Here is a 13164-nt window from a genome sequence, read left to right on the forward strand (position 1 = left end):
AAATTGTGAATGCTAGTGGAAAAGTGCTTGTGGGCATCCCAGTTACGGCCCTAAGCACCCTTTCCCAAGTCTGCTTGATACAATTTTGGTCAAGCCTTCCCGAATAGGTTATATATTCAGGTTGTAATTTTGGCAGGAAGGCAAAACCTGGACACTTTGTTATATACTGTCCCACCTGTTATTCCCTCCCAGTTTTGAGCCTAACATTTGCTTTGTGGGACATGTTCTTCAAGTGGACACCTTTTTTTTTTTTTCCAGTAGTTTATTTGCAAACCTCCTTTCCTTTCCTTTTTTCCCCCCTTTCCTAGTAGCAGAATCCTGTTTCCAAGTGAAATAGTATGTGGATTCCAATCTGTGGGTCACATAAAAGCTTTCTTGAAGGAGCGGTGAACACATAGCTCCTGAAGGCTCTGGAAGCCACAGTTTATACCCCACTGACCTAGTCACTCCCTGTGCTTCTTGGAGGCCGCGGTGGGGCGGTTCTCCCAGAGCATTTGCTCTGCTGCTGCCCTTGCTGAATGCCTGCTCACCCGGTGATGAAGCTTAGATGCACTCACTCAGATTTTTCTAGAGCTTTTGCTCCATTCATTTACATATCATTTTATTAAAAACTTACTAAGTTCAAAACAATGTTAAAATAAGTTGTCCCTGCCCTTGGGGAGCTCAGCTAAGTAGGTTTTGTTTTTCATATTTCTGCTGCAAGTGCCTCCGATGCCTGTCTGTTGCTCCTTAGGACTGGCCAACCAAGCGCACCAGGTGACACTTCAGTGAATGGCCCTGTATGACGGGTGACGTCTGCTGCTGCTGACTGAGGACTGCAGACCGCCACCACTCAGGGGCTCTGGAGGGGTCAGCTGGAGCCCACCAAGCTGTCACTGCTGCACTCACTCTGCAAGGGATCAGGACCAGCAACCTTTATATTCTAGATTCTAAGACATTGTACAGAGAAATTCAGAAGTGTAAAAATATTGCACATTGACAAATACCAAGAATTTTTGCGTATGTTTATATTGTATTGTTCTAAATAATGGGTAGCCTGTGAAATAAGATCTTGCCACCCATGTAATAATAGTAGTAATACTATAGTTAAAATGGCTGTAAGAATAGTTTTATAAAAGTGAATACACAGATCTATTGTATTTGAAACATAACTTTGACAATTATTAGTGTGACCAAAGTATTAGGCGGTTTTCATACATTTTTCACCTTGTACAAAATTATGAATTCATTTTTCCTCCAGGCCGACAAGGAGTTGTAGAATGAAAATGCCCTCTAAGTGTTATTTTGGTTGTTCTAACTTACAAAAGTGATTTTGAATAAGAAATATTTGGTGTTCTTTTTATAACCAGTTTTTGATTGGTAATTGTTTTCTGTATTGTTTAAAACGGATCAAAAATGTAAGTCTATTGGTAGAGATTAAGTAAAGTATTTATTGCTACATCATAGTTGATAAATTGATGTTATCGTAAAGCCATATGTTCTGTTCAAGTCTTGTTTGCTTGAAATGATTATTCCTACAAGTGAAACACTAGACTATTTGGAGTGTATATGGCTTGTGTTTTGGGATTTTTTTTTTTTTTTTTTGGCTTTTGTTTTTGTTTGTTTTTTTGTTTCATTTGGTAGTTCATCTGCCTTTTAACCCATTCACCAAAATTTACCTTGTTAACAAGCATCACCAATGAACATTTCAGAGCAATCTGCATATTTAACAGACCTAAAATAAATCCTATTAGGCAAGTCAGTTGAAAATGCTCGTGCTGCTAATGGAATTAGAGTGCGTTCATTTTACAGGCTAGTATTTTAAAAGTAGAAATCAAAATCTGGCACCGAAGCATGCTAATTGTTTACTGTACCTTGTGAGGTTTTCACTCATAAATTTAAACCAGTGTATTTTTTTAGAACTGGTTTGTGTATATATATAGTGATTATGGATACTAATTCAATGTAATTTATAATTTTCTATGTCAATACAAAAATACATCACAGCCTTCTCAAACAGCTCAAGCAATATATTGTATATTGCCATATCGTCTGGTGAAAGGGTTAAATTACTTCACCTCTTGCACTTTTAGATGCAAATCAGTTTTTCATTTCTGTAATAGAAAATTATTCACGTATTTTTACATCATTTGTTTTTCCTGACCAGTATTTAAAACCAAAAGGATATTCTGAAAAATGGCCAACAATTTTTTTAGAAGTAGCATCCCAAGCAGCGTGCCTAAACATTACATTGCATATGGAAATAAAAGAATCAAACGTCTAATGCCTTATTATTTCTGATTTCCTTTTTCATTTTAAGTGGTGTGGAGATTCCAGCACTCCCAGGACAGTGGAGTCAGCAGTAAGCCCTGGGACAGGTGGCAAGGGTGGGTCCCTTGACCTTTGCACGCCTCCTCAGGAACCCCCTTTCCCGGGTGAGCCCCTCTCTGAAGAGACTGTCCTTGGGCCTCCTCTGGAAGCAGCACCCCCAGAGGACAGGGCTCCTCCTGCTTGCCTCAGGGCTGCCTGACTTGAATGGCGTTGGACCTCGGGGATTACTGGTAGATAATATGCTCTGGTCTCGCCTGGTGGTGAGTTTTGCCAGCCATGGCCAGGGTTTGGCTCCACTGGTGGCACACGTGGCCTCCGTGGTATGGACCTGGTGGCTTCTCCATCCCACTGTGGCCTCTGTGGTATGGACCTGGTGGCTTCTCCATCCTACCCAAGGTAACAGTGTCTTGCTTCATCCCACTGACTGCTGGGAGAGAGCCTCTGGGACTTTTCTTTGGGGCATCATTTTGTTTTGTCTTTCGTAGCAGGGAAAGGATATGACAATGGGGAGGACAGTTCTTTTGGAGGTTGGAGGGGCCAAGCCAAGGACAGGAGCAAGTGTGCCCTCATTTTGTTTCTACTTTTAATTTCTGTGTGTTGGCCATACTGAATTATGAGACTAACAGATGTCTACAATACAATACCTGTATTCAAAATAACAAAAATAAAGCCTGATTCTTTGTTTCTAGAAATCTCTTGTACCTTGCTTGGATTTTTAATGGGTTGATGTGTCCTGCCATTAGGTCCCGTGTTACACTAGGTCCTGTGTGAGAAAGACTGCACTGCACTGTGTGAGAGAGTGGCCTCTGGGATCAGGGGCTCATCCTCCCCACTGCCATAGCCCAGGTGCCCAGAAGAGGTGGTGCCTGACACCGGCTCTCAGTCTTGGGACGGCTCCAAGGGTTCCTCTGGACCTCCAGCTTGTTACTTTTATGTGCAGCGTGTCCCACCTATGTTGTTTGGCTCCCAGCCCAACAAGTCACAGTTAGGTGCTCCATAATGATTCTTAAGATGTGATGCTTATGTAGCTCCTTATTTTGCATTTTCCCTTCACCTGTTTGCTTAAAAACATGTTCTCTAGTCATTACCTCCTAGCAGGTCCTCTGCACAGCCTTTTGCTTTCTGGGCACGCATGCATCCCTCCGTGCCTGGGCCCACAGGCATCTCACACAGCACTGAGTACACACCTCTGCATGCTGGGCCCGCAGGCAGCTCACTCTGAGCTGTCTGGGTACCCACCTCTACATGCGAGTCCATAGGCATCTCACTGGCAATCGTGTAACCAGGGCACAAGCTCTCCAGCCGGGTGGCTCATCACAGCCCAACTCAGCCACTCATGATGGTGTGACCTTAGGCAGGTCTTGGTGTCAGCTTTTTCTGTTGGGTGGGGAAACAATAGGAACAAGTTCAAAGACTTGAATAGCTTTTTACTTACGGTAAATGTTTAACAAACATTAGCTAACTTTTACTCACTTAACCCCATAATGTCACCTGCTAGCCTTTCTAAATTTCCACTTCAATCCCACCTATTATTTAAAACCTTTACCTTCAGAAAAGTTGAGCATCTTAATCAGATGGGTTTCACTGCCCTTCAGCTTCCAGGGTCAGCTGCATCCGTGTGCCAGGTCTGGCCACCACCTGTGTCTGTGAATAAAACTGGCTATCCGTATGGAAAGACATGAGCCTTTATTCCTACTGCACGTCATACACAAGAATTCATCCAAAATAGATTGCAGATCCAAACATGAGCGCTTAAACAGTGAAGTTTTTAGAAGAAAAAATTATCTAAAATGTGGGATGGGCGAAGGCTGCTTTGGATGCAGAGCACATACCGTAGAAGAAAGACATCGGGCTTCCATCAACGTGAAAATGTTCTGCTCTTGAAAATGGACAAGCAAGGAACGGAATGCCAGGCAAGAAATCACACTGTGTGTCCTGACAAAGGACTCAGACCTCGGATATAGGGGAGAAAACTGCAAACCAAAATTAAGATGAAAAGCCCAATTTAACAAATGAGCAAGAGACTTGAACACAGATATTCACGAAGAAGGGACAGATGTTCCCTGACTTAACGATCCATGCCGGCCACTTCCCCTCGCGATGGCACAGCTGGCTGGGACTGCTGCTCCCTGCCACCGCTCAGTACTGCAGGAGGGCACTGTGCTGCGCATCCATCACCAGCCCAGGAAAAGATCGGAATTCAGAGTGTGGCTTCTGCTGAGAGCTTAATGCTTCCGAAACGCCATCGTAAAGTCCAAAAACCTGAAATTGAACCGTCTTAAGTCAGGGACCTGTGTATACATGAGTGGCCAATAAGAACATGAAAAGTTGTTTAACATCATCACTTCCTGGGGAGGGCAAGTTAGAATCACAAAAAGGTCCCATTTTCCATCTATTAGTGTTCAAATGAAAAAGACATCACCAGATAGGAGAATGTGCAGCTGCTAGAACTCACCTATTACTGTCTAAAATAATACTTCCAGTTTAGGAAACTAGTGGGCAAATTCTTTTTTTGGTTTGGAGGTTTTAAAAAATTAGACATACTCCTGCAGACTCTCCTAGATACTCAGTGCAAATACATGTCCACAGGTGATTTGTACAAGGATATTTATTGTCACTTTATTCGTAATATGTCTAACAACAGGAGGGTGGATAAGCAGATTCTGGTGTAGTCATACGATGGACTTCTACTTAGTAACCAACGGGGGTGAACCGTGATGAATGCAGCCATGTGTATACGTCTCAAAAACGTTGAAGGCTGGACACAGTGGCTCACGCCTGTAATCCCAGCACTTTGGGAAGTCAAGGCAGGCAGATCACCTGAGGCCAGGAGTTGAAGACTAGCCTGGTCAACATGGCGAAAACCCGTCCCTACTAAAATTTTAACAAAAATTAGCCCAGAGTGGCGGTGCACACCTGTAATCCTAGCTACTCAGGAGGATGAGGCACGAGAATCACTTGAATCCGGGAGGTGGAGGTTGCCGTGAGCTGAGATCGTGCCACTGCACTCCAGCCTGGGTGACAAGAGTGAGAACCTGTCTCATAAATAAATAAATGCGTTAAGCAAAAGAAGTAAGATATGTAAGCATCTATACGAAGCTCTAAAACCGACCAAACGAATTGATGGGAGAAATTCGAATAGTGTTTTCTCCTGGCAGGGAAGAGAGAAGGATTGGCTGAAAAGAGCACAGGGACACCTTCTGGGGTGAGGGAAGTCTTCCGCAGCTTGTTGGTGATGGTGGTTATGTGAACGTATACATGTGTCCAAACTCATCAAAACCTACACTTAAGACCTATGCATTTGATTGTATGTGATTTGCACCTTAATCTTTTAGAACTAAGGAAAAGGAGAAGTTAAAAGTGCAGCATAGAAAGCATTGTGAGGGAGAACACCCCCCATGGCATGCACCGTGGCCCCGGGACTGCCTTTCCTACCCCGCCAAGGAGGAGAGACCGAGGAGCAGGGCATGCTCTGGGCTCCAGCCTGGATTTGCCCGCCCATGGAGAGGACACGTTCCGGATCGTCCTCTTCCACACAGTAGACTCTGTCCTGCCGAAGGGAGAAGTCTGCATCCCTGGGTTAGACACGTCTCATGGAGTCCTCTGCCCGTGACCAGGGGGGGACATTTGTCTAATCCAGGGATGAAGTCAGAGAACTCATCCAAACCATGCCCCTCAAGCAAGGTTTAGTTTTAAAAAGAAAAGGATGTTGAATCCATTTGTCCGTCGTGCCTTATTTCCCAGAGGGCACTTCAGGAGGGCTGAAGGGGGCATGACCACCTCGCCAGGCATTGTCACAGGAGGCGGTGGGAAGCAGTGGTTTGTATGGAGGGAGTGATGTGAAGATGGGAGAACAGGCCGTGCCGGCTGCTGCTTCCCTTCTCGGGGACAGCCACGCTCTGACCGCGGCTCCAGGGCTGCATCTAATGGTTCAAAGGCCCAGTCACGGGGTCCTGTTGGGAGGAGGTGCCCATGCCCTGGCCTCATGTTTCTCTGTGGGATCTTGGCACTAGGTGAGTGCCCTTGGCCTCTCCACACTCCACTCTAATGGGAGCTTAGTGACTTCACTGAGAGATTTTGGTGAGGATTTGCATTTTTGGTTCAGTCAAAAATGCTTTCTAGGCTGGGCAGGGTGGCTCACGCCTGTAATCCCAGTGCTTTGGGAGGCCAAGACGGGAGGATTGCTTGAGCCCAGGAGTTTGAGACCAGCCGGGGCAACACAGTGAGACCTCATCTCTGAAAAAGTAATAAAAATTCAAAAGACAAACTAAGAAGTTCCCCCCGCCCATTTGTCTTTCAAGTCCTAATTCTCACTTGTTTCTGAACCTTGGTGTCCTTTCCTAAACAAACCAAGAAATACATTGTTACACTAAATCTGTTTTTTCTCTTTAGAAGACAGGTGGTCAGATTGGGGTTGAAACTAGAACCCAGGAATATGCTGTTGATGTAATAATCATAAAAGTGACAGGCTGAAAATAAGTGGATAGAAAAATAGGGTACAAGCAGAAAATAAGAGTATTCATATCAGGCACAGCAGAGTTTAAAAGCACTGTGCAGGGGTAAGATGCTCTTCATCAAACTATAAATACCGCAGTGGAACAAAACAATTAGAAATGCAAGGAAAGGGTCTTGTTTCTAGCTGTAAGAGTAATTTTATCAGAACGCACATCCTGCCAATGATGAAAGTTGGGCTTTTTAAAAACCAGCTTTAAACTTTTTACAACTAGATTACTTGAGCCCAGGAGTCCAAGACCAGCCTGGGGAATGTGGCAAGACCCTGTCTCTGCCAAAACAATTTTTTTTTAATTAGCCAGGCGTGGTTGTGCGTACCTGTGGTCCCACCTACTCGGGAGGCTGAGGTGGGAGGATTGCTTGAGCCAGGGAGGTCAAGGCAGCAGTGAGCTGTGATCATGCCACTGCACTCCAGCCTGCGTGACAGAGCAAGACCCTGTCAAAAAAAAAAAAAAAAACACACACACAAACGAACTAGGAACAGAAGGAAACTACGTCAACGTAAAAGCCATACGTAAAAACCCACAGCAAACATTTTACTCATTAGTGAAAGACAAAGATTATCCTCTAAGAGCAAGAACAGGGCAGGGATGCCCTCTTTCGCCACTTCTATTCAGAGCACTAAAAGTTCTAGCCAGAGAAATTAAGAAGAAAAAGAAATACAGGGCATTCAATTTGGAAATGAAGAAGTAAAATTATCTCTGTTTGCAGATAATATGATTTGAAAATGTAGAAAGCCCTAAAGTGTCCACACACACACACACACACACACACACACACACACACAAACTATTAGAACTAATAAATGAATTCAGCAAAGTAGCAGGATACAAAGTCAACACACACAAATCAGCTGAGTGCGGTGGCTCACACCTCTAATCCCAGCACTTTGGGAAGCTGAGGAAGGAGGGTCACTTGAGCCTGGGAGGTTGAGGCTGCAGTCAGCTATGATCACATCCTGCACTCCAGCCTGGGCAATATTGTGAGACCCTGCTCAGAACACACATGCACACACATCAGTGGTGTTTCTATATGATACCAATGAAGAATCTAAAAAAGGAAATTATAAAAATAATCCGTTTTACAATAGCATAAAAAGAATAAAATACTTAGGAATTAACCAAAGAAGTGAAAGGTGTGTACAATAGAAACTACGAGACACGGCTGAAAGAAATTAAAGAAAACATTAAGATATGGAAACACATTCCCTGTATATGAATTGGAAGACATAACATTGCTAAAATGTTAATACTACACAAAGCATCTACAGATTCAATGTAATCCCTATCCAAATCCCAATGATATGTTCTTGCAGAAATAGAAAAATCTATTCTAAAATTAATAGAGAACCTCAAGGGACCGTAAATAGACAAACAATCTTGAAAAAGAACAAAGCTAGAGAACGCATACTTCCTTATTTCAAAATTTACTACAAAGCTACAGTAGTCAAAACATTATGGTACTGGCATAAAGAGAGACATATAAACCAGTGGAATAGAATAGAAGCCCAGGAATAAACCCTGGCATTTATGGTCAAATGATTTTTTTTTGAGACATATCCCTCTGTTGCCCAGGCTGGAGTGCAGTGCAGCTCACCGCAACCTCCACTCCCTGGGTTCAAGCGATTCTCCTGCCTCAGCCTTCTGAGTAGCTGGGATTACAGGTGTGCACCAGAACACCTGGCTAATTCTTTTTGTATTTTTAGTAGAGATGGGGTTTTGCCATGTTGGCCAGGCTGGTCTCGAACTCCTGACCTCAAGTGGCCACTTGCCTTGGCCTCCCAAAGTACTGGGATTACAGGCGTGAACCACCATGCCTGGCCTATGGTCAAATGATTTTTGACAAGGGTGCCAAGACCGTTCAGTGGGGAAAGGACAGTGTTTTCAACAAATGGTGCTGGGAAAACTGGATATCCACATGCAAAAGAACAGAATTTGACCCTTACGTAACACTATATACAAAAATCAAACTGGATCTAAGACCTAAAACAAATTCCTAGAAGAAAACATAGGGCAAGAGCTTCACAGCACTGGATGTGGCAGTGATTACTTGGATATGACACCAAAGGCACAGGCAACAAAGGAAAAAAATAGACAAATTGGACTTCATGAAAAATTTGAAATGTGGTTCATCAAAAGATACTGTCAATAAGCCAGGTGCAGTGGCCCATGCCTGTAATCCCAGCACTTGGGGAGGCCAAAGTGGGAAGATCCCTTGAGTCCAGGAAATGGAGACAAGCCTAGGCAACATAGGGAGACCCCATCTCTACAAATAATAATTAAAAAAAAATACTGTCAACAGAGTAAGAAGGCAATTCACAGAACAGAAAATATTTACAAATCACGTCTGATAAGTGATTAATATCCAGAATATTTAGAACTCCTAAAACTCAAGAACAAAGAAACAACGTGATTCAAAAATGGGCAAAGGACGTGAATAGACATTTCTCTGAAGAAGATATACAAAGGACAAACACATGTAAAGGTGCTCATCACTAATCATTAGAGAAATGCAAATCCAAACTACCACCTCACATCCGTTAGGATGGCTACTGTAACACATGCACACTCACACAAATAAATGTTGGCAAGGATGTGGAGAAATCAGAACCCTTGTGTGCTTTGGGAATGTAGAACGGTATAGTTGCTGTGGAAAACAGTATGGAGGTTCTTCAAAAAGTTAAAAATAGAATTTCCATATAATGCAACAATTTCACTTCTGGGTATATATATGAAATAATTAAAAGCGGGGTCTTGAAGAGATATTTGGACACTCACGTTCATGCCAGCATTATCCTCAATACCTGCAAAGTGGAGACAACTCAAGTATCCACTGACAGATGAATGACTAAGCAAAATGCTGTGTATACAAAAAGTGGAATATTATTCAGCCTTAAAAAAGAAGGAAATGGTACAACATGCTACAACATGGATGAAACTTGAGGACATTAGGCTCAGTGAAATAAGCCAGTGACAGAAAGGCAAATACCACAGAATTCCATTTATTTGAGGTGCCTAGAGTTGTCAAATCTATAGAGACAGACAATAGAGGGGTGGGTGCCAGGGGATGAGGAGTTAGTGTTTAATGCTTAATGGATATAGAGATGAAGTTTTACGGGTGAAAAGAGTGCTGGAGACGGATGATTGTTGTGGTTATACAACATCATTAGGGGAATTTAATACCATTAAACTGTAACTTTTTTTTTTTTTTTGAGATGGAGTTTTGCTCTTTTCACCCAGGCTGGAGTGCAGTGGTGCAATCTCGGCTCACTGCAACTTCTGCCTCCCAGTTTCAAGCAATTCTCTTGCCTCAGCCTCCCGAGTAGCTGGAATTACAGGCACAAGCCACCACGCTCAGCTAATTTTTGTATTTTTAGTAGAAACGGGTTTCACCATGTTGGCCAGGCTGGTCTCGCACTCTTGACCTCAGGTGATCTGCCTGCCTTGGCCTCCCAAAGTATTGGGATTACAGGTGTGAGCCACGGCACCCAGGTGAACTGTAACTTTAAAAAATGGTTAAGATGGTATATTTTATGTTATGTATATTTTACTGTCAGGCCTCTGAGACCAAGCCAAGCCATCACATCCCCTGTGACTTGCACATATACACCCAGATGGCCTGAAGTAACTGAAGAATCACAAAAGAAGTGATTATGCCCTGCCCCACCTTAACTGATGACACTCCACCACAAAAGAAATGAAAATGGCTGGTCCTTGCTTTAACTGATGACATTCCACCACAAAAGAAGTGTAAATGGCCAGTCCTTGCCTTAAGTGATGACGTTACCTTGTGAAAGTCCTTTTCCTGGCTCATCCTGGCTCAAAAGCCTCCCCCACTGAGCACCTTGAGACCCCCACTCCTGCTCGCCAGAGAACAAACCCCCTTTGTAATTTTCCTTTACCTACACAAATCTTATAAAATGGCCCCACCCCATCTCCCTTTGCTGACTCTTTTTGGACTCAGCCCGCCTGCACCCAGGTGAAATAAACAGCTTTATTGCTCACACAAAGCCTGTTTAGTAGTCTCTTCACATGGACGCGCATGCAATTTGGTGCCGTGACTCGGATCGGGGGACCTCCCTTGGGAGATCAATCCCCTGTCCTCCTGTTCTTTGCTCCGTGAGAAAGATCCACCTATGACCTCAGGTCCTCAGACCAACCAGCCCAAGAAACATCTCACCAATTTCAAATCTGGTAAGCGGCCTCTTTTTACTCTCTTCTCCAACCTCCCTCACTATCCCTCAACCTCTTTCTCCTTTCAATCTTGGTGCCACACTTCAATCTCTCCCTTCTCTTAATTTCAATTCCTTTCATTTTCTAGTAGAGACAAAGGAGACATGTTTTACCCATGGACCCAAAACTCCAGCGCTGGTCATGGACTAGGAAGGCAGCTTTCCCTTGGTGTTTAATCATTGCAGGGACGCCTCTCTGATTATTCACCCACGTTTCAGAGGTGTCAGACCACGCGGGGATGCCTGCCTTAGTCCTTCACCCTTAGCGGCAAGTCCCACTTTTCTGGGGGAGGGGCAAGTATCCCAACCCTTTCTGTGTCTCTACCCCTTCTCTGCTTTTTTGGGGGGCAAGAATCCCCCGATCCCTTATTTCCACGCCCTGACCTCTTATCTCTGTGCCCCAATCCTTTATTTCCGTGCCCTGACCTCTTATTTCTGTGCCCTGATCCCTTACTTCCATGCCCCGACCTCTTATCTCTGCACCCTGATCCCTTATTTCCATGCCCCGACCTCTTATCTCTGCACCCTGATCCCTTATTTCCATGCCCCGACCTCTTATCTCTGCACCCCAACCCCTTATTTCTGCGCCCTGACCTCTTATCTCTGTGCCCCAACCCCTTATTTCCATGCCCTGACCCCTTTCCTGCTTTTCTGGAAGGTAAGAACCCCCGAACCCCTTCCCTCCGTGTCTCTACTCTCCCTTTTCTTTAAACTTGCCTCCTTCACTATAGGCAAACTTCCACCCTCCATTCCTCCTTCTTCTCCCTTAGCCTGTGTTCTTAAAAACCTAAAACCTCTTCAACTCACACCTGACCTAAAACCTAAATGCCTTATCTTCTTCTGCAACACCGCTTGGCCCCAATACAAACTTGACAATGGCTCTAAATGGCCAGAAAACGGCACTTTCGATTTCTCCATCCTACAAGACCTAAATAATTTTTGTCGAAAAATAGGCAAATGGTCTGAGGTGCCTTACGTCCAGGCATTTTTCACGCTTCGTTCCCTCCCTAGTCTCTGTTCCCAATGCGATTCCTCCCAAATCCTCCTTCTTTCCCTCCCGCCTGTCCCCTTAGTCCCAACCCCAAGCGTTGCTGAGTCTTTCCAGTCTTCCTTTTCTACAGACCCATCTGACTTTTCCCCTCCTCCCCAGGCTGCTCGTTGCCAAGACAAGTCCCAATTCCTCCTCAGCCTCCTCTCCTCCACCCTGTAATCCTTCTACCACCTCCCCTCCTCACACCCTGTCCGGCTTACAGTTTAGTTCTGTGACTAGTTCTTCCCCACCTGCCCAACAATTTCCTCTTAGAGAGGTGGCTGGAGCTGAAGGCATAGTCAAAGTACATTTACCTTTTTCTCTATCAGACCTCTCTCAGATCAGTCAGCGTTTAGGCTCTTTCTCATCAGACCCCACTAAATATATACAGGAATTCCAATATTTAACTCTGTCCTACAATTTAACCTAAAGTGACTAAAATGTCACCCTGACTTCTACCCTCTCCCCAGATGAACGGGAAAGAGATTTTCTCAAGTCCAATCTCACGCTGATAACCGCTGGCTTCACGAGCCAGGCCTCCAGGAAGGCATTAGAGCAGTTTCCTGAGAGGATCCCCAATGGAACTACCAGGCAAATTCCCCAGGTATAGCTAGGCGAGATTACGTGATTTCCTGCCTAGTTGAAGGGCTTAAAAAGGCAGCTTACAAAGCTGTTAATTATGACAAGCTTAAAGAAATTACCCAAAGTAAGTGGGCAAAGGATATGAACAGACACTTCTCAAAAGACGACATTTATGCAGCCAAAAAACCCATGAAAAAATGCTCATCATCACTGGCCATCAGAGAAATGCAAATCAAAACAACAATGAGATTGCATCTCACACCAGTTAGAATGGCGATCATTAGAAAGTCAGGAAACAACAGGTGCTGGAGAGGATGTGGAGAAATAGGAACACTTTTACACTGTTGGTGGGACTGTAAACTAGTTCAACCATTGTGGAAGACAGTGTGGCGATTCCTCAGGGATGTAGAACTAGCAATACCATTTGACCCCGCCATCCCATTACTGGGTATATACCCAAAGTATTATAAATCATGCTGCTATAAAGACACATGCACAC

The 13164-nt window shown here is 44.2% G+C and overlaps 1 protein-coding gene across 81 annotated transcripts in view, besides 1 other annotated feature; it reads left to right on the plus strand.

The window, feature by feature from the left end:
- PPP6R3 (protein phosphatase 6 regulatory subunit 3) overlaps positions 1-3002 on the plus strand; it is a 154583-nt gene extending 151581 nt beyond the window's left edge. For 64 of the 81 annotated variants that reach the window (NR_147971.2, NR_147966.2, NR_147967.2 and 61 more), the window contains one exon: positions 734-3002. Coding sequence is in view for 74 of the 81 variants with exons in the window: in NM_001352362.2 (NP_001339291.1) it covers positions 734-785 (52 nt within the window). In the remaining 7 variants the exon portion in view is untranslated. Of the gene's footprint in view, positions 1-703 lie in introns of all 81 variants that reach the window. The other 17 variants (NM_001352354.2, XM_006718608.4, XM_006718612.4 and 14 more) reach the window with 2 other exon arrangements.
- Positions 10273-10803: an enhancer, noted in NCBI's record as "NANOG hESC enhancer chr11:68390073-68390603 (GRCh37/hg19 assembly coordinates)". NCBI's record gives its function as "activates a minimal SCP1, AML or CMV promoter by ChIP-STARR-seq in naive and primed H9 embryonic stem cells {active_cell/tissue: H9 hESC(naive and primed)}" and the evidence as "EXISTENCE:reporter gene assay evidence [ECO:0000049][PMID:30033119]".

This window comes from Homo sapiens, chromosome 11 (assembly GCF_000001405.40).
Source record: "Homo sapiens chromosome 11, GRCh38.p14 Primary Assembly".
Classification (NCBI taxonomy): domain Eukaryota; kingdom Metazoa; phylum Chordata; class Mammalia; order Primates; family Hominidae; genus Homo; species Homo sapiens.